Below are 20,228 nucleotides of genomic sequence, written 5' to 3'. Positions count from 1 at the left end.
CTGGGCGGTCTGGGGGCGGGGAAGGGGCGGGGCCTGGCCAGGGAGAGACCGGCAGGGGGCGGGGCCGGAGGGGACTGAGGTGGCCTAGGGGCGGGGCCTAGGCGGGGCGTGACCGGCACAGGGAGTGGGCTGGGGAGAAAACGCGAAGGGTGGGGCGGGGCCTGGACAGGCAGGGGGCGGGGCCGGGAGGGACCTAAGGAAGGCGGGTGGGAGCCTGCGTTTCCAGCCACCTGGTACCCAGAGCGTCCCTATTTTCTGGGTTTGGGAACACAAGTCTATTTCGTGTCCTGCGGAGCAGTTTTGCTTTCTGCTTATTTTAAGTTAATGTCTCAATTTTAAGGTAAACCCTTAGAGTTATGTGGGCCATCTCTGTTGGAAAGTAAGATGTTTTCCTAAGTTGCAAACTTAAGTTGCTCAACTATTTTTAAAAAGTTACTGCTTTTTCTAAAGCAAGAGTTAATATCACCGGTATTAGCCCTCCTCGCTCCACACCCCAGGTATTTACCATATGAAAATCTCTGCAACTGTGCACAGGGCTGACTCTCTCCCTCCATGGTGAATGGGTGTAGAATGTGGAGGGGATTGCATTAAGTTCTGTTGAGAGGTGACTTGAAATTACTTACACATTCTGCCCAGGCAGAGTTTTGCATTTCACATTCTAGTTTGCATACCCTTCACAGACATTTTCAGGGCTTTTTAGTTAAGTTGCTTAAATTAATTCAAATTGCAGAAACTTTCCTGGATTCAATCTACCCCAAACCGACACCCCCAGAGATGCCAGATCCCCACCCAGAGTTGCTTCAGTCTCACTAGCAGCTCTTCTGTCCTACCTGCTGGCAGTAATAACCATTTCAACGTGAACCATTTCAACTTCTGTCCCATTCGCTGGCAAAAATACCTTTTAACGTATTTTAACGTATTAACGTATAAGTTTAACCATTTCAACTTTCTTTTGCCCAAGATTCCTATTCCCATGGTCAGGTTGGGATCTACCCTCAATAATAACTACGGTGGCCCAGGGCGTTGTAATCTGTGTGCAGCATTGAGCACCAAGGCTCTGTGTTCTGCGTTTCTGATTACATTTTTCAGCTCTAAAATTTCTCTGTTTTTCCTTTATAGCTTCTGTCTCTCTATTGATAGTCTCATTTTGCTCATATCTTGTTTTCCTGATTTCCTGTGGTTGTCTATGTGTGCTCTCCTCTTAATTCATTGACCATCTTGTGACTCTTATTTTCAATTCTTTGTCTGATAATTCACACATCTTCATTTCTTTAGTGTCAGTTTGTGGTGGTTTCATTTGTTCCTTTGTGTGGATCATGTTTCCTTTTCTCCTTGAATGTCTTGTTATCTTGGCACCTCAGCATTTCACTAATCAACCAGTCCTACTTTTTTATTTCTGGCTTCCTTCAGGGAGGACCTTCTCTATTCAGCCTGACTAGAGATTCTGGAAACCTCTGAAGCCTTTTCTGGGAATGTGTCGTCTCTGGGCTTTTGCTTGTAGTTACCTGAGAAGGTTTGCCAGTTTTTCTTCAGGAGAGCTCCTGTTGACAGTCTGCAATTCTGCAGTCCCTGTGTTTTCATGGTAAGCTGTGGTCTGGTTCTCCACCTAGTGTCTGCCTGCGTTACTGCAGACTCTCGTTTATGTTGCTTGCCTTTGTTCTCAATGGTTTCCCTGACCTGGCATCCTGTCACTTTTGATGGTACTTCTGTTACTTAACTGATTCTTTAGGTTTAATTGTAATTGTTGAGGGGTTTTTTGTTTTTGTTTTGTCTTTATTTTGTTGAGATGGGGTTTCACTATATTGCCCAGGCTGGTCTTGAACTCCTGGGCTCAAGCACCCCTCCTGCCTCAGGCTCTCAAAGTGCTGGGATTACAGGTGTGAGCCACTGCTCTCAGCCTAACTGTAATTCTTAGATGCCTGGGTTCGGGGCTTGCTCTGTCATTTCTAGCTCTTGGACCTTAGGCCAGTTTCTTAGCGTATCTGTGACAGTTTCTTTCTTTTTCTTTTTTTTGAGACGGAGTCTTGCTCTCGCCCAGGCTGGAGTGCAGGGGCGCCATCTCGGCTCACTGCAAGCTCCGCCTCCCGGGTTCACGCCATTCTCCTGCCTCAGCCTCCCGAGTAGAGTAGCTGGGACTACAGGCGCCCGCCACCACGCCCGGCTAATTTTTTTGTATTATCATTAGAGACGGGGTTTCACCGTGTTAGCCAGGATGGTCTCCTGGTGACCATCGTGATCCGCCCGGCTCGTGATCCGGTCCTGACCTCGTGATCCGCCCAGCTCGGCCTCCCAAAGTGCTGGGATTACAGGCGTGAGCCACAGCGCCCGGCCGACACAGTTGTTTCCTAGTAAGATAGGAAAAGATCTTTTTCTCATGGGCTATTATGTTGTTATTTGAGTTAATACAGGTAAAGTATTCCGAATAATGCCTTGCACATAGTGTTCAGAAAAGTCAGTCATTGCTATTGCCATTATCATCACAGTTTTTACTTCTGGCCAGTGTTTCTGTAAAGCCACTGTGGACCTTGTCACCTCAGAAGACATCATTCGTGCTTTAGCTTATCTAGATACGGAGTATCACTTAGTGTGTTGAAAATAATATCTAACACTTCTATAGAGATCAGCTTGTGTTTGGGTTTTTATTTGTCTATTTATTGTATTGTCCACAAAACTGAAAACTCCACACAGATTTAGAGGCTATTATAACTACTTAGGGAAAAGTACAATAAAACAGAATTAGGGAGACATAACTTGCTCAAAAATGCCTTCACGCTGGGGCGGTGGCTCAGTGAGCCGAGATCATGCCATTGCATTCCAGCCTGGGCGACAAGAGCAAGACTCTTGTCTAAAAAAAAAAAAAAAAAAAAAAAAACAACAACAAACCTCACATATTCGTATTTAAGAATATAGGAAACACTGATTCAGTTTCTTCTACTGTTCTCTCACAACACAGAATGCTACAGTTAGCCCAGAGGTACTGGGTTTTCCCACACACACCAAGCAAGCAATCCTGCCACAGACACCAGGTGCGTGTTCTCTCATTCCGTTCCATTTTGCCGGGACATGGCATCAGATCCCACACGTTGAGGGCTCAGTCCCACAATAGTGCACACATTTCAATGCCAGTCTCAAGCAGAGGTTGTGACTTGTGCTTACAGATCAGATATAAATCCAGGAGTCCCTTGACCCCCTCCTCAGGTTCAACGAATTTGCTAGAGTGGCTCACAAAATACAGGGAAACACTTTACATAGATTTACGTATTATAAAGGATATTACAAAGTTGACAGAAGAACAGCCAGATGGAAGGGATCAGTGAGGTGAGGCATGGGAGAAGGGGCGTTGAGCCTTGGTGCCCTCCCTGGGTGCACCACGCTGCAGGAGCCTCCCAGTGTTCACCTATCCAGAAGCTCCGCTGAATCCTCTCCTTTTGGGTTGTTATGGCGCCTTCATTACATATGCATGATTGCTTATATTACTGGCCATTGGTTAAACTTTTAGATAGCCTAAGTTTTGTTTTTTTTTTTTTTTGGGAGAGACGAAGTCTCACTCTGTCACCCAGGCTGGAGTGCAATGGCGCGATATCGGCTCATTGCAACCTCCGCCTCCAGGGTTCAGGCCCCGCCCCGGCCCCGCCCACCCTATGCTCTCAGTCCCTCCCAACGCCTGGCCTTTCCCCACCGCAACCCGCCCCTTTGCCTACTGCGCGGGCAGTTTCTTGCAAACCCGGAAGCAGATCTCTTGGAGTGAAGGCTGTTAGTCGCCGCGTGAGTTTCCCTCTATCTAGATTAAACCTGCGTTTCGGAGTCCCCTGCTCCTCCGTACCCGATGTCCGGGGGTTCGTATAGCCCTTAAAGTCCCCGCACGGCTCCCTCCATTCCATGTAAATTCAGACTTTGCCGCGAGACTCTGGGGGTCGCATCGCTTTGGGTTAAAATCACACAGGCTGGTCCTGCCCGCGGTCTTTCGGCCTTCAGACCATGCAGACACCTCCTTTCCTGCGCCGTTTCCTGCTTAAAACCCTTTACTGACCTGCGCCCTGTGAAGTCCTCATCTGCGAAGTGGGTGCAGGATTTTACCGTCCCCTAACCTCGCCCTAGTCAGCTACTGGAGCGTTAGCGCCGCAGCCCCAGTCCCGGGGAGGCCGCGCCTCTGCCTGGTCCTGGGATCCTGCATACCCCACCCCTCTCCTAAGGCGCCGTCGCCCCCCACCTCCCTCCTCCTCGTGCCGGGCCCTGCTGCTCCCTAGGCCTCCCCTTCGCAGTCACCGTTTCCCCTGAGCCCGCGTTGGGGAGGTGCCCGGGCCTTGTCCTGTGATACCCGGTGTTCTTGCCTGCCCAGCTCCACCCGCTGGAAAATGTGCTCCTCCAGGATCCAGGTGTCTTACTCCAAACCCTCCCTGTGAATGTGTGGGCCAAGGGGATCAGGAGACAGAGAGGGGGGCTGAGAGAAAAGTAGAAAAACGGAGACAGAGGAAAGAATGAGGGAAACCAGTAAACATGGCAAAGTAGAGGATGGGTCAGGATTTACAAAGAGACAGTAAGGGTGAAAGAAGTCGCTGAGAAAGTAACAGGATGGAGAAACAACTGGAGAAATGTAGAGAAAAGCTCGCTGTCTAGAGAGATGAAGGACAGCAAGGTAGGGAGAGGGGCAGCTCCTCAGACGGAGAGTTAGGGAGAGGAGGGGGTATTTGGAGCCAGGATAGACAGAGCAGCGTGGTGCTGGGACAGCAAGAAGGGGCAGCTGGTGACAAGGAGAGCAGAGGGAGAACCACAGCAGGGGGAGACCTGGGATCTGGGGGTGCCAAAGAGTGGGGACAAGGAAGTGAAACAGGGAAGAGGGGATTTAACAGGGAGAGCAGAGATAAGGGAAGAAAGAGGCAGAAATAGATGGAGATTGGGGACAACCAAAAGACGGGTGAAAGAGGAATAAGAGGTGAAACAAGTTGCAAGAATGGAACAGAACAAGTGGAAGAGAAGGATAGAGGGAAGGAGAAACAGCAGGAGAAGAGAGGGGCTCAAAATGAGGAGCAGAGACCCAGGCTGAAACACAGAAAAGAAACAAGGAGAGAGAAGAAGAGAATGAGAGAGATGTACAGAATGAGGGAGGGAAACACACAGGAAGGAAGAAAGAGGGGGACTATGGCCCAGATGCATGGTGGTTTCATTGGATATGGATAATTACATCGTGATATATTGATTTCTGTATCCATAATCTAACAAATTTTTTTTTTCTTAAGACAGAATCTCACTCTATTTCCCAGACTGGCGTGCAATGGCACGATCTCGACTCACTGTAACTCCGCCTCCTGGGTTCAAGCGATTCTCTTGCCTCAGCCTCCCGAGTAGCTGGGATTACAGGCATGCACCACCACACCTGGCTAACTTTTGTATTTTTAGTAGAGACGGGGTTTCACTATGTTGACCAGGCTGGTCTCGAACTCCTGACCTCAGGTGATCTACCCACCTCAGCGTCCCAAAATGCTGGGATTACAGGCATGAGCCACTGTGCCCAGCCCCTAATAATCTAACAAATTTTATATGTATATATTTTGTTTCTGTTATGGAGATGCTGGTGAGAATCACAAAAGTTTTGTCTATAAGACATGTGCATTTTATAATTCCTGGCATCAGAGGTTAGCTTCTATTTGCAATCTCTGTTCTAAGAGAGCAGTGACTTGACTCATTCAGTTATGGGTCACCCTCTTTCCTTTTCCTAGGATGGGGTAATGTGTAGGCAAGTGTATGAGTGAGGAGGAAAAACCAAAGTGTTTTTCCCACTCTCATAATCAAGTAATGAACGCTCAACAAAGAATGCATCGCCTCTCATCACCAAAACGTGTGGGGTGGGGATTTCTCCTCACCAACACGCAGTTCTTGAACAAACACTACCTGACTGTCCAATAATTTAATTCAATTCGGACACTGTCTACCCAGAGTTAGCATTAGATCCCACTAGTTGAGGGTTCCCTCTTCAGATACCAGCCCCAAGTCCCAGATTCGGAGCTTCGGATCCATTGAGTATAAATTTGGGATTCTCCTCATCCCTTCCTGAGGTGCTATTAATTTGCCAGAGCAGCTCATAGAACTCAGGGAAACATTTTCCTTGGTTTACCCAATTGTTTTTTGTTTGCCGGTCTGTTTTTGAGACGGAGTCTTGCTCTGTCACCCAGGCTGGAGTGCAATGGCACGATCTTGGCTCACTGCAACCTCCGCTTCCTGGGCTCAAGCAATTCTCCTGCCTCAGCCTCCCAAGTAGCTGGGATTACAGGCGTCCGCCACCACACCCAGATAATTTTTGTGTTTTTAGTAGAGAAGGGGGTTCACCATGTTGGCCAGGCTGGTCTTGAACTCCTGATCTCAGGTAATCCACCCACCTTGGCCTCCCAAAGTGCCGGGATTACAGGCATGAGCTACCGCACCCGGCCTACCTAATTGTTATAAAGGATACTACGAAGCATACAGATGAATGGTTTTAGCAAGTTAATTGAATCCAAGGAAGGGGTTAAGAGAATCACGGTATTTATCTGGTGAGAGTGTAGCCAACAGCTACTAGTAGCATGTAGCACACTGAGATCTTCACCTGGGAGAACTGACAGTGTCAGAGTGGAGTGAAATTGTAGGACCCACCACTGGGAGTGCACTGCAGAACTGGTCATTGTGGGAAAAACTGCACACATTTTGGTGACTACAAGTGAAGTATTCTGGGTTGAGTGTGACAATAGTATGAACAGTTTAATTTTTTCCTGTCTCAAACAGTAAAGGGAAGAGCTCTCCAACGGGCCCACCCACCTGTCTTAAGGCCTGCAATCTCAACTCAGGAGGTACTGGGAATGGTCTGTCCCTGCTCCGGGCTGTTGCTGGCTGTGGGCGGCATGCCACCCAGGTGCCAAGGCAAGAGACAGAGAACACGAGCTGTTCCAGTATAATAAAATATAAAACAAGAATAGTTATACCAGATATAGATCTTAGATATGATTATATATGAATATCATTAATCATTAGTTTGTAGCAATTACTTTTTATTCCAATATTATAATAATCCTCGCTCTATAATCATAGCCTAGGAAAAACCAGGCCATACAGAGATAGGAGCTGAGGGGACATAGTGAGGTGTGACCAGAAGACAAGAGTGCGAGCCTTCTGTTATGCCCGGACAGGGCCACCGGAGGGCTCCTTGGTCTAGTGGTGACGCCAGCGTCTGGGAAGATGCCCGTTGCCAGGCGGACCGTGGTCTAGGGGTAGCGTAAGTGTCAAATGAAAACACCCGCTACTTAGCAGACTGGGGAAGGGAGTCTCCCTTTCCCCGGGGGAGTTTAGAGAAGACTCTACTCCTCCACCTCTTGTGGAGGGCCTGACATCAGTCAGGCTCGCCCGCAGTTATCCGGAGGCCTAACCGTCTCCCTGTGATGCTGTGCTTCGGTGGTCACGCTCCTAGTCCGCCTTCATGTTCCATCCTGTACACCTGGCTCTGCCTTCTAGATAGCAGTAGTAAATTAGGGAAAGTACTAATAGTCCCTGATATGCAGAAATAATGGCGTAAGCTGTCTTTCTCTCTGTCTCCTCTCCCTCTCTGCCTCGGCTGCCAGGCAGGGAAGGGCCCCCTGTCCAGTGGACACATGACCCACGTGACCTTACCTATCATTGGAGGTGACTCACACTCTTTACCCTGCCCCTTCTGCCTTGTATCCAATAAATAACAGCGCAGCCAGACATTCGGGGCCACTACCGGTCTCCGTGCATTGGTGGTAGTGGTCCCCCGGGCGCAGCTGCCTTTTCTTTTATCTCTTTGTCTTGTGTCGTTATTTCTACACTCTCTCGTCGCTGCACACGGGGAGAGACCCACTGACCCTGTGGGGCTGGTCCCTACAGCTGGCTCTTCAGTTTTGCACCACAGTCTCAGGACGGTGTGGCTCCCTCCTCCACTGTGTCAACTTTTACTTCAAGGGAATTATTTTGATGAGCATATCCAGATTAGTGGTCTTGTCTATTCACACACACACACACACACACACACACACACACACAGAAAATAAAGCCTTTCTTTCTCATCTACTCTTTCAACTTTAAAACAAAAAATAAGGCTGGGCATGGTGGCTCACGCCTGCAATCCCAGCACTTTGGGAGGCTGAGGCAAGCAGATCACCTGAGGTGAGGAGTTCGAGACCAGCCTGGCCAACATGATGAAACGTCTTCTCTACTAAAAATACAAAAATTAGCTGGCCGTGGTGATGTGCACTTTTAATCCCAGTTACTTGGGAGGCTGAGGCAGGAGAATCGCTTGAACCCAGGAGGCAGAGCTTGCAGTGAGCTGAGATCACACCACTGCACTCCAGCCTGGGTGACACAGCTAGACTCCATCTCAAAAAAAACAAAAACCCGGTCAAAAATTTAATCTGGATTACCCAGCATCTCCTATAAGAAACAAAGGGGCCCTCTCCCTCTCCCTCTCCCTCTCCCTCTCCCTCTCCCTCCCCCTCCCTCTCCCTCTCCCTCTCCCTCTCCCTCCACGGTCTCCCTCTGATGCCGAGCCAAGGCTGGACGGTACTGCTGCCATCTCGGCTCACTGCAACCTCCCTGCCTGATTCTCCTGCCTCAGCCTGCCGAGTGCCTGCGATTGCAGGCGCGCACCGCCACGCCTGACTGGTTTTCGTTTTTTTTTTTGGTGGAGACGGGGTTTCGCTGTGTTGGCCGGGCTGGTCTCCAGCTCCTAGCCGCGAGTGATCCGCCAGCCTCGGCCTCCCGAGGTGCCGGGATTGCAGATGGAGTCTCGTTCACTCAGTGCTCAATGGTGCCCAGGCTGGAGTGCAGTGGCGTGATCTCGGCTCGCTGCAACCACCTCCCAGCCGCCTGCCTTGGCCTCCCGGAGAGCCGAGATTGCAGCCTCTGCCCGGCCCCCACCCCGTCTGGGAAGTGAGGAGCGTCTCTGCTTGGCCACCCATCGTCTGGGATGTGAGGAGCCCCTCTGCCTGGCTGCCCAGTCTGGAAAGTGAGGAGCGTCTCTGCCTGGCCGCCATCCCATCTGGGAAGCGAGGAGCGCCTCTTCCCCGCCGCCATCCCATCTAGGAAGTGAGGAGCGTCTCTGCCCGGCCGCCCATCGTCTGAGATGTGGGGAGCACCTCTGCCCCGCCGCCCTGTCTGGGATGTGAGGAGCGCCTCTGCTGGGCCGCAGCCCTGTCTGGGAGGTGGGGAGCGTCTCTGCCCGGCCGCTCCGTCTGAGAAGTGAGGAAACCCTCTGCCTGGCAACCGCCCCGTCTGAGAAGTGAGGAGCCCCTCCGTCCGGCAACCACCCCGTCTGGGAAGTGAGGAGCGTCTCCGCCCAGCAGCCACCCCGTCCGGGAGGGAGGTGGGGGGGGTCAGCCCCCCGCCCGGCCAGCCGCCCCGTCCGGGAGGTGAGGGGCTCCTCTGCCCGGCCGCCCCTACTGGGAAGTGAGGAGCCCCTCTGCCTGGCCAGCCGCCCCATCCGGGAGGGAGGCGGGGGGGGGGGTCGGCCAGCCGCCCCGTCCGGGAGGGAGGTGGGGGGGTCAGCCCCCCGCCCGGCCAGCCGCCCCGTCCGGGAGGTGAGGGGCTCCTCTGCCCGGCCGCCCCTACTGGGAAGTGAGGAGCCCCTCTGCCCGGCCAGACGCCCCGTCCAGGAGGGAGGTGGGGGGGTCAGCCCCCCGCCCGGCCAGCCGCCCAGTCCGGGAGGGAGGTGGGGGGTCAGCCCCCCGCCCGGCCAGCCGCCCCGTCTGGGAGGGAGTTGGGGGGATCAGCCCCCCGCCTGGCCAGCCGCCCCATCCGGGAGGTGAGGGGCGCCTCTGCCCGGCCGCCCCTACTGGGAAGTGAGGAGCCCCTCTGCCCGGCCAGCCGCCCCGCCCGGGAGGGAGGTGGGGGGGGTCAGCCCCCCGCCTGGCCAGCCGCCCCGTCCGGGAGGGGGGAGGGGGGGTCAGCCCCCTGCCCGGCCAGCCGCCCCGTCCGGGAGGGAGGTGGGGGGGGTCAGCCCCCCGCCTGGCCAGCCGCCCCGTCCGGGAGGGAGGTGGGGGGATCAGCCCCCCGCCTGGCCAGTCGCCCCGTCCGGGAGGTGAGGGGCGCCTCTGCCCGGCCGCCCCTACTGGAAAGTGAGGAGCCCCTCTGCCCGGCCAGCCGCCCCGTCCGGGAGGGAGGCGGGGGGGGGGGGGTCGGCCAGCCGCCCTGTCCGGGAGGGAGGTGGGGGGGGTCAGCCCCCCGCCTGGCCAGCCGCCCCGTCCGGGAGGGAGGTGGGGGGATCAGCCCCCCGCCTGGCCAGTCGCCCCGTCCGGGAGGTGAGGGGCGCCTCTGCCCGGCCGCCCCTACTGGGAAGTGAGGACCCCTCTGCCCGGCCAGCCGCCCCGTCCGGGAGGGAGGTGGGGGGGACAGCCCCCCCGCCCAGCCAGCCGCCCTATCCAGGAGGTGAGGGGCGCCTCTGCCCGGCCGTCCCTACTGGGAAGTGAGGAGCCCCTCTGCCTGGCCAGCCGCCCCGTCCGGGAGGGTGGTGGGGGGGTCAGCCCCCCGCCCGGCCAGCCGCCCCATCCGGGAGGTGAGGGGCGCTTCTGCCCGGCCGCCCCTACTGGGAAGTGAGGAGCCCCTCTGCCCGGCCACGACCCCGTCTGGGAGGTGTGCCCAGCGGCTCATTGGGGATGGGCCATGATGACAATGGCGGTTTTGTGGAATAGAAAGGCGGGAAGGGTGGGGAAAAAATTGAGAAATCGGATGGTTGCCGGGTCTCTGTGGATAGAAGTAGACATGGGAGACTTTTCATTTTGTTCTGTACTAAGAAAAATTCTTCTGCCTTGGGATCCTGTTGATCTGTGACCTTATCCCCAACCCTGTGCTCTCTGAAACATGTGCTGTGTCCACTCAGGGTTAAATGGATTAAGGGCGGTGCAAGATGTGCTTTGTTAAACAGATGCTTGAAGGCAGCATGCTCCTTAAGAGTCATCACCACTCCCTAATCTCAAGTACCCAGGGACACAAACACTGCGGAAGGCCGCAGGGACCTCTGCCTAGGAAAACCAGAGACCTTTGTTCACTTGTTTATCTGCTGACCTTCCCTCCACTATTGTCCTATGACCCTGCCAAATCCCCCTCTGCGAGAAACACCCAAGAATGATCAATAAAAAAAAAATAAATTAATTAAAAAAAAAAAAAAAAAAAAAAAAAAAACCCTTAACTACTTTTCCTTCTGTAGTAAGTTCCCCTCTTCTATGCTCTATTTAAGAGAATAGTACACAAAAACTTCTTTGTGTTCCTTTTTTTTCTTTTCTCACTTTCTCTTCTGTTTTCCTGGCTTTAAGGACATACCATTAACCTTTTTAAACTGTTTGTTTTCAAGTTTTTGATACCTCGCTGATCACGTCACGCTTTCCTCTTCTGGTGTCTCTTGATTTTTCTGTTCCCTAAATGTGGACTATGCACGGCTTACTCCCTGAGCTTCTTGGTTCCTGTCCACACCCAATGTGGGTGGCAAGCCACCCAGGTGCTGAGGCAAGAGACCAAGGACACGAGCTGTTTCAGTATAATAAAATATAAAACAAGAATAGTTATACCAGATATAGATCTTAGTTATGATTATATATGAATATCATTAATCATTTGTTTGTAGCAGTTACCCTTTATCCCAATATTATAATAATCCTCCCTCTGTAATCATAGCCTAGGAAAAGCCAGGCCATACAGAGATAGGAGCTGAGGGGACACAGTGAGAAGTGACCAGAAGACAAGAGTGCGAACCCTCTGTCATGCCCGGACAGGGCCACCGGAGGGCTCCTTGGTCTAGCGGTGACGCCAGCGTCTGGGAAGACGTCCGTTGCCAAGCGGACCGTGGTCTAGCGGTAGCGTAAGTGGCAAGGAACAACACCCGCTACTTAGCAGACTGGGGAAGGGAGTCTCCCTTTCCCCGGGGGAGTTTAGAGAAGACTCTGCTCCTCCACCTCTTGTGGAGGGCCTGACATCAGTCAGGCTCGCCCGCAGTTATCCGGAGGCCTAACCGTCTCCCTGTGATGCTGTGCTTCGGTGGTCACGCTCCTAGTCCGCCTTCATGTTCCATCCTGTACACCTGGCTCTGCCTTTAGATAGCAGTAGCAAATTAGGGAAAGTACAAAAAGTCTCTGATAAGCAGAAATAATAGTGTAAGCTGTTTCTCTCTTTCTCCTCTCTCTCTCTGCCTCGGCTGCCAGGCAGGGAAGGGCCCTCTGTCCAGTGGACACGTGACCCACGTGACCTTACCTATCATTGGAGATGGCTCACACTCCTTATCCTGCCCCTTTGTCTTGTATCCAATAAATATCAGCGCGGCCTGGCATTCGGGGCCACTACCGGTCTCCACGTCTTGGTGGTAGTGGTCCCCCGGGCCCAGCTGCCTTTTCTTTTATCTCTTTGTCTTGTGTCTTTATTTCTAAGCTCTCTCGTCTCCACACACGAGGAGAAAACCCACCAATCCTGTGGGGCCGGACCCTACAACCCATGCCCTTCCTTATCATCTCATCTCACAGCTTTAAACCCACCTACACGGCTCCCTGTTCCCTGCAGACTTCTCCCTTGAACACTGGAATCCTTTGTCCAGTTGTCTCCTCAACACTCTGCTGGGAGGTGGAACAGGCATCTCCACCTTCGTATGTCCAAAAGGGTCATCCTGAATTCCCCCAAAGGTGTTCCCCAGCAGACCCAGGGTGGATGGGGGCCACCCTGTACTTCTTGGGGCTTAGCTGAACATGTCAGCATGTATTTAAAATAGAGAAGATATGACATTATTTGCGAGTTAAAAATAAGATAAGTGGATTAAAGAAATCCAGTGTTTTAAAAATTATTTATTATTTCTTCTAGTCTTTTTTTTTGAGACAGGGTCTCGCTCTGTCGCCCATGCTGGACTGCAGTGGTGTGATCTTGGCTCACTGCAACCTCCACCTCCTGTCCTCAAGCCATCCTCCTACCTCAGCCTCCCAAGTAGCTGGGACTACAGGCACGTACCAACACACCTGACTAAATTTTGTACCTTTTTTACAGATGGGGTTTTGCCATGTTGCCCAGGCTGGTCTCAAACTCCTGAGCTCAAGCAGTCCACCCACCTCTGCCTCCCAAAGTGCTGAGATTACAGGCAAGAGCCACTGCGCCCAGCTTAAACATTCTTTGGAGGTGTGGGAGAAAAACTGTTTGAAGACCTCAGCCCTCCCTGACCTGCTCCCCCAGGACCTCTCTGACCTCGTCTCCTGCCTGTGCCTCCTTGCTCCCTCTGCTCCAGCCACTCAGGCCCCTTTCCTTTTCCGGGGTCCCCAAGTTGCTCCTGCCTCAGGGCCTTCACATGGGTGGTCCCTCTGCCTAGGACTCTGGCCCCTCAGGTGCAGGTGCAAACACCCTTCCTAACCCAGGTCTTTGTTCTGATATCACTTCCTCAGTGGGGACTTCCGTGACCCTCTCCCTGACCCCCGCTTCAGCATTCCATCCCCACCCCCACCCTCACCTCTTGTCTGTATTGGCTGTTCTGCGTGTTTCTCTGTGCTGCTTCACCTTCCACTGTCTGGATCCTGATGACAAGGCCCCCAGGGAAAGTACAGCCAGAAGGTGGGGGGGCTGTGCTGGGCTCGGCCCCTCTCAGTGGAGCTCAAGAATGCTGAGGCATTTTGCAAATACATCTCTTACGCCCCCTTAGCAGAGATTTTCATTCAGATAAGTTGCAGCCCAGCTTCAGTGACATTTAAGATTTGTTCTGTTCTGTTATTCTGTATCTACTATTGAGCACCAGGGCACTGCTGATCATTTCTGAAGGCTGAGATCAGCCTATGACTCACAGAGGGGAGAGGGACTGTGCTCAGCATGGGGTTTGGTCAGGGCTGGGTCTGTGCCCCGAACAGAAGCTCATTCCAGCCCAGCTCCCCACTGCTGCAGCCTGTGTGGGGGCTTCTCCAGGAGGGGAGTGGGTTCTAAAGAAAGAGGTCAGAAACTCACTTGTTTTTCCTGTAGGAGTTTCTCATCCCTGCATCTTTTCTGGTGCAGTGGGCAGCAGAGGACCATCTTCCCTGTGTATAAGGTCTTCCCTGTGTATAAGGTTATGGCCCAGGGAGGGGGTGTGTTGATTCTAACCAACAAACAGCGTATTTTTGACATTCAGGATTGAATTCTAAAGTCTCTTTCATGTTACCCAAGGTAGAACCCTGGAAGAAGAGGAAGAGGAAGGCAAAGGAGTCAGGGATGGCTCTTCCTCAGGTGAGATGATATTCTCGGTGGATTGTTCTGTCTCCTTCCTTTCAGAAACCTTGGACCTTGGAGTTGGGAATCTTCTCTGAGTCTGAAGCATCCTGCCTGACAGGTTTGCTCGCACTCACTCGTGCCTTCCCTCAGTCCCTCTCATCTCACTTAGATTCCATCTCTGGTGACCCAGTGACATGAACTTGGGAAGAGGCTGCACGGGGCATGGACCTGGGAAGGGCTCACACCCCGACATGGATGGAGACGGGGTGAGGGTCCCGTGGTGTCAGTGCTGTTGGGCAACAGGGATTGTTCAGGACATATTTGAATATATTGACAGCTCTGTGTAAACTGTGATAAGAGAAGCTGGTTATGAAGTCAGATGTTAGTGTGTACAAGCACCCACGAAATGCTGTAAAATGAGACGACTGTGGGGAAAGCTTTGTCACCTCATTTATATTTGCATTTGATGCCGAACAAGTGAGTCACTGTGTTTCTGACTCCAAACTCCTTTTTTTTGTTGTTTTTGTTGAGACAGAGTCTCGCTCTGTCGCCTAGGCTGGAGTGCAGTGACGCGATCTCAGCTCACTGCAACCTCCGCCTCCTGGGCTCAAGTGATTCTCTGGCCATGGCCCCCTGCGTAGCTGGGACTACAGGCATGCATCACCATGCCCGGCTATTTTTTTTTGTATTTTTAATAGAGATGGTGTTTCACCGTGTTGCCCAGGCCGGTCTCCAATTCGTGAGCTCAAGCGATCCACCCGCCTCGGCCTCCCAAAGTGCTGGGATTACAGGCGTGAACTACCGCGCCCGGCCTTCATTACTTATATTCAACCAAGAGAGAAACTTATCCCTCAGGCAGCGCCCTGAAAAGACAGAATATTGGATGAATGTTTTCATACTTTTCCTCTCCCAGGAGAAATGGGAAATTGGTGTTTTTCTTGCAGTGACACTGCATCATGCCAGGGTAAGGCCTCTGGGAGCAGATGTCCTGTATTTTCCTACTAGACTTCTGTTAAGAGTTCCAACCTCTTAAATGACCACTGGGTTTCTCACAAAGCAATTGGTTCATATATTGCTACTACATTTGTGTCTCCGTGGTGGAGGTAGTGTTTGGGAGTTCTAGTCCTCTATTTTATTGACATCATCACTTTAGTACAGTCTTATAATTTCTTTAAATAGGTCTGGAAACGTATTTTAATAGGTAGCATTGTATAATTCCTAATGTACTCGTGAGATGCATTGTGTGTTTGTGTCTAATGAGAGCTGCTAAAGAAAGAATGAAGATTGTTTTCACAGTATTGTTATTAGTTCTTAAACTTCAATGCATTCTTCTCCTGGGTTGTGAGTATGTCATCTGTTAGTTTTAACAGATCCAGCTCCTACTTTACCTTTTTCTTGGTCTCAGCTCAGGCATGCTCTGAAGTGGGCTTTAGCTGGAGCCTTGGTGAGCCCCCATTTTCTCCTTTTTTTTTTTTTCTGATACAAGGTCCGGCCCTGTCGCCCAGTCTGGAGTGCAGTGGTGCAATCTCGGCTCACTGCAACCTCCACCTCCTGGGCTCAAGCCAGCCTCCCATCTCAGCCTCTCAAGTAGCTGGGACTACACGTGCATGCCACCACACCCAGCTAATTTTTATATTTTTTGTAAAGATGGGGGTCTCACTATTTTGCCAAGGATCGTCTCGAATTCCTGAGCTCAAGCAATCCACCCGCCTTGGCCTCCCAAGGTGTTAGGATTACAGGCATGAGCCATCATGCCCAGCCCATTTTCTCCATTTTAATTTAGATCAAATGCATCCAGCATTTACTGCTTGATTATGATGTTTGGTGAAATTTTCTTGTTTAATATTAGCTTTTGGGTGTTTTTCAAATTTCCTTTTTGGACTGATTTTTAATTATCCAATAATTTCTTTGAGTAAGTATTGTTGCAATATGTACTTCTGAAATCTATTCATGTATGATATTAAAAAATGTCCTAATCTTAGGATTTCATGAGTAAAATAAACTAAAACCTCCATTGGGCTTTTGTTAATGCCTAAATATCTAAATTTAACTGGAAAAAAATGGTATCTGTACTTTTAATATTTGTATTTAATACCAATTGGAGTACAAGTTCTTACATATTTTTGTTTTAGCGTTTTTACAGCTTAATTTACAAAAATGTTTGTAAACTAAATCAAGTACAATTCATGCATTTCAGTTGTCCCAGACTTTCTGAAAAGCACATGAGCAAAAAAGACAACTAAAGATGTCATAAAAAAAAATACATCATTGAGACACATCTCCTTATTTCACTTAATTTAACTGGTATATGTGATGTGCACACATGAATATGTAGATGCATACACCCATGGTTTTATAAAAGACATACCATCATTTAAATAAATTGTATGTGTTTTATCATTTGAAATCATATTTTAAATATTTTCTGTGGCCTTAAATTTGTTCTCCACTGTCTTTTTTTTTTTTGAGATGGAGTTTCACTCTTTTGCCCAGGCTGGAGTGAAGGGGCGCAATCTCGGCTCACTGCAACCTCTGCTTCCTAGGTTCAAGCAATTCTCCTGCCTCAGCCTCCCGAGTAGCTGGGATTACAGGTGTCTGCCATCACACCTGGCTAATTTTTGTATTTTTAGTAGAGACGGGGTTTTACCATGTTAGCCAGGCTGGTCTCGAACTCCTGACCTCAGGTGATCCATCTAACTCGGCCTCCCAAAGTGCTGAGATTACAGGTGTGAGCCACCACACCCAGCCTGTTCTCTATTATCTATTAATGAACTAATAGGATAGTAATATATGGACATAAATGCGTTTGTGTATATAATGACCTTTGGTGAAATTCCATATTGTTAGCCTTGAACTTGTTTCAGTTTTTCTCAGTTAGGTGACCTCATGTTAATTTACTTTTGGTGCTGTTTAGGAAAAACAACTCAAAAACCATGTTTTCCTCTGCTCTCACACCAACACCACAATCCACACAGAAGACTTCTGTGGCCAAATGCGAGGGGTTTCTCCCCACCAACAAACAGCAAGCAACCAACTGGCTGTCCTCCAGTTCAGTTCCAACACTGTCTGCATGAAGATAGTGTCAGATCTCACAGATTGATGGCTCAGTTCCCAGTTGCATGTCCAGGCCTCTGAAACTTCTGACCGACCAACTTCAAGTTGAAGTTCCCATGAACCCTTCTTTGGGTTGGATTTATTTGCTGGAGCAACTCTTAGAGGTCAGAGAAACACTCAGTTTTACTGGTTGATTATAAATACTATTACAGAAGATACCAGTGAAGAGATGCATAAGGTGAGGTATGGGGAAAGGGGCGCAGAGCTTCCCTGCCCTCCCTGGGTATGCCGTCCTCCAGGAACCTCCACATGTCAGCCCTCTGGAAGCTCCCTGAACCCACTGCACTCCAGCCTGGGTGACAAAGCAAAACTCCATCTCAAAAAAAAAAACAAAAAAAAGAAATAAATTTACATATTTATACAAAACTCATAAACTCATAGCCACTTTTTTTTTTTTTTTTTTTTTTGAGACGGAATCTCGCTCTGTGTCACCCAGGCTGGAGTGCAGTGGTGCGATCTCGGCTCACTGCAAGCCCCGCCTCCCAGGTTCATGCCATTCTCCTGCCTCAGCCTCCCGACCAGCTGGGACTACAGGCGTCCGCCACCACGCCTGGCTAATTTATTTTTGTATTTTTAGTAGAGACGGGGTTTCACCGTGTTAGCCAGGATGGTCTCGATCTCCTGACCTCGTGATCCACCCGCCTCGGCCTCCCAAAGTGCTGGGATTACAGGCATGAGCCACTGTGCTCAGCCAAAACTCATAGCCACTTTTATCTTTGTTTTCTCTTTTGATTCTACCCAAATTTCCAGTGAGAAAGTCCTGAATTCAGTGCTGAAATTAGGTTTTTACATGTGCTTTTTTCTATAAGTGTGACCTTGTAATAAAGGAAGTGGTTTGTTGTCCTTGATAATCTCATTTGGCTCCTGTGTAGTTCTTTGAGATAATTCCCCTGCCAGCTGGTTGTCTTCCAAATGCGTGCAAACTATATTATACTACTTTATGCAAACTATATTATACTACTTTATGCAAAGAGACAGACACTACTTTTTACTGTATCTTTCTAGGACTTTTTATTCTGTTTTCAGTTTAAATTTGCTTACCCCTGAGATTTTAAAGTCTCTTTCTTCATAAAACACTATTTGAACTTGAATATATTAACACATTCTGTGGCCAGTTTTGCTCGACATCATTTTACCCTTCATTCTCCAACATTCTCTCATTTCTTGTACTTCTTTATTTGTTTGTATTTATTTATTTTTACTTTTAATAATTTTTACTTTTTTGTAGAAACAAGGTCTTGCTATGTTGCCCAGGCTGGTCTCAAACTCCTGGGTTCAAACAATCTGCCTGCCTTGGCCTCCCAAAGTGCTGGGACTACAGGCATGAGCCACCATGCCTGGCCAATTTCTTTATTTTGTAAACCTCATTTTCACAGTAGTTCAGAGGATTTCAGCCACAGTGTAGCATCTAAAAGACTGGGAAAGTTCTTTTCTAACCAGTTTAATGACCAAGAAACTATTCAGACCAATCTACATGTCAGTCATTCACAGTAGAACGTGAGCAGCTGCTGATAGATGTTGCACAAAAGGATGTTGGGAATCTATTAGACATTGGTACACGTCGTTACATAAATGAATTCTTCCAAAATGACCACCCTTTCAGAACCTTGGACAGATACATTGACTCCTTTGTACTGATCTCAGACACTGAGATTCTAAAATGAAAACTCTGAAGGCTCTTCTTGACTATGTAGCCTTCCTTAATGCTTTAGCATTCCAAACCGCCTACTTACCCTCTTTGGAAGATTATTCAGGGCATTGCGAGCTGCTCTTTCAGGTAGCTTGCCTGTTGCTTAACTGATTGCTTAGGTTTAATTTTAATTCCTAGACACCTGGGTACAGGTACTTGCTCTGTCATTTTTAGTCCTTTGACCTGAGACAGGTTTCTCAGTGTGTCTGTGAAACAGTTGTCCCCACAGTAAAATGGGAGCAGATCTTTCTCTCATGGGCTACAGTGTTGTATGTGTTAGTACACGTAAAGGATTTAAAATACTACCTTGCATATGGGCATTGTTCTTAAATCCCTGTCATTGCTATTGCTCTCATCATAGTTTTAAGGCTCTGACTTGTTTTTTCTTCAAAGCCACTGTGGATATTATCATCGTTGAAGACACCACTCATTCTCTAGGTCATCTAGATGCTGAATATTGCTTGATGTGTCCGACATAATATCTATCTAACACTGGTAGAGATAAACTTGTGCTGGGTTTTTTTGTTTTGTTTTGTTTTGTTTTGTTTTGTTTTGTTTGTCTCCCTGTTGCCCAGGCTGGAGTGCAGTGGCACAATCTTGGCTCACTGCAACCTCTGCCTCCCAGGTTCAAGCAATTTCCGGCTAATTTTTGTATTTTTAGTAGAGACAGCGTTTCACTGTGTTGGCCAGGTTGGTCTCGAACTCCTGACCTCAAGTGATTACCCCACCTTGGCCTCCCAAAGTGCTAGGATTACAGGCATGAGCCACTGAGCCCAGCTGATTTTGTATCTGTATATTTATTTATTGTCCACAAAACAAATCCACACTAATTTAGAGGATATCATAACCTCTTAGGGAAAAGAATAATGAAACAGGATTAAACAGACATAACTTGCTCAAATAAATTTTAGTGTGTGAGAATATAGGGAAAAACTGGTTCAGTTTTTTGTTTGTTTGTTTGTTTTTGTTTTTGTTTGAGATAGAATCTCGCTCTGTTGCCCAGGCTGGAGTGCAATGGTGTGATCTCAGCTCACCACAACCTCCACCTCCCGGCTTCAAATGATTCTCCGGCTTCAGCTTCCCAAGTAACTGGGATCACAGGTGCCTGCCACCACACCTGGCTATTTTTGTATTTTTAGTAGAGACGGGGTTTTGCCATGTTGGCCAGGCTCGTCTCGAACTCCTGACCTCAGGTGATCCACCCGCCTTGGCCTCCCAAAGTGCTGGGATTACAGGCGTGAGCCAC

General features: G+C 49.6%; 1 protein-coding gene across 11 annotated transcripts in view, besides 3 other annotated features; it reads left to right on the top strand.

The window, feature by feature from the left end:
* Positions 6-75: a silencer, noted in NCBI's record as "silent region_11005". NCBI's record gives its function as "represses an Ori minimal core promoter by ATAC-STARR-seq in GM12878 lymphoblastoid cells {active_cell/tissue: GM12878}" and the evidence as "EXISTENCE:reporter gene assay evidence [ECO:0000049][PMID:35858748]".
* Positions 3,719-20,228, top strand: part of ZNF665 (zinc finger protein 665) — a 30,935-nt gene continuing 14,425 nt past the window's right edge. For 2 of the 11 annotated variants that reach the window (XM_047439451.1, NM_001353459.2), the window contains exons 1-2: positions 3,719-3,765; positions 14,138-14,193. Coding sequence is in view for 9 of the 11 variants with exons in the window: in NM_001353459.2 (NP_001340388.1) it covers positions 14,179-14,193 (15 nt within the window). In the remaining 2 variants the exon portion in view is untranslated. Of the gene's footprint in view, positions 3,837-6,756; positions 6,892-14,133; positions 14,194-17,092; positions 17,471-20,228 lie in introns of all 11 variants that reach the window. The other 9 variants (XM_047439450.1, NM_024733.5, XM_047439449.1 and 6 more) reach the window with 7 other exon arrangements.
* Positions 3,754-3,903: an enhancer, noted in NCBI's record as "active region_15063". NCBI's record gives its function as "activates an Ori minimal core promoter by ATAC-STARR-seq in GM12878 lymphoblastoid cells {active_cell/tissue: GM12878}" and the evidence as "EXISTENCE:reporter gene assay evidence [ECO:0000049][PMID:35858748]".
* Positions 14,363-14,879: an enhancer, noted in NCBI's record as "H3K4me1 hESC enhancer chr19:53685451-53685967 (GRCh37/hg19 assembly coordinates)". NCBI's record gives its function as "activates a minimal SCP1, AML or CMV promoter by ChIP-STARR-seq in naive H9 embryonic stem cells {active_cell/tissue: H9 hESC(naive)}" and the evidence as "EXISTENCE:reporter gene assay evidence [ECO:0000049][PMID:30033119]".

Source organism: Homo sapiens, chromosome 19 (assembly GCF_000001405.40).
Source record: "Homo sapiens chromosome 19, GRCh38.p14 Primary Assembly".
Lineage (NCBI taxonomy): Eukaryota > Metazoa > Chordata > Mammalia > Primates > Hominidae > Homo > Homo sapiens.
Note: the sequence above shows the minus strand (reverse complement) of the source record. Positions and strands in the feature narration are given on the sequence as shown.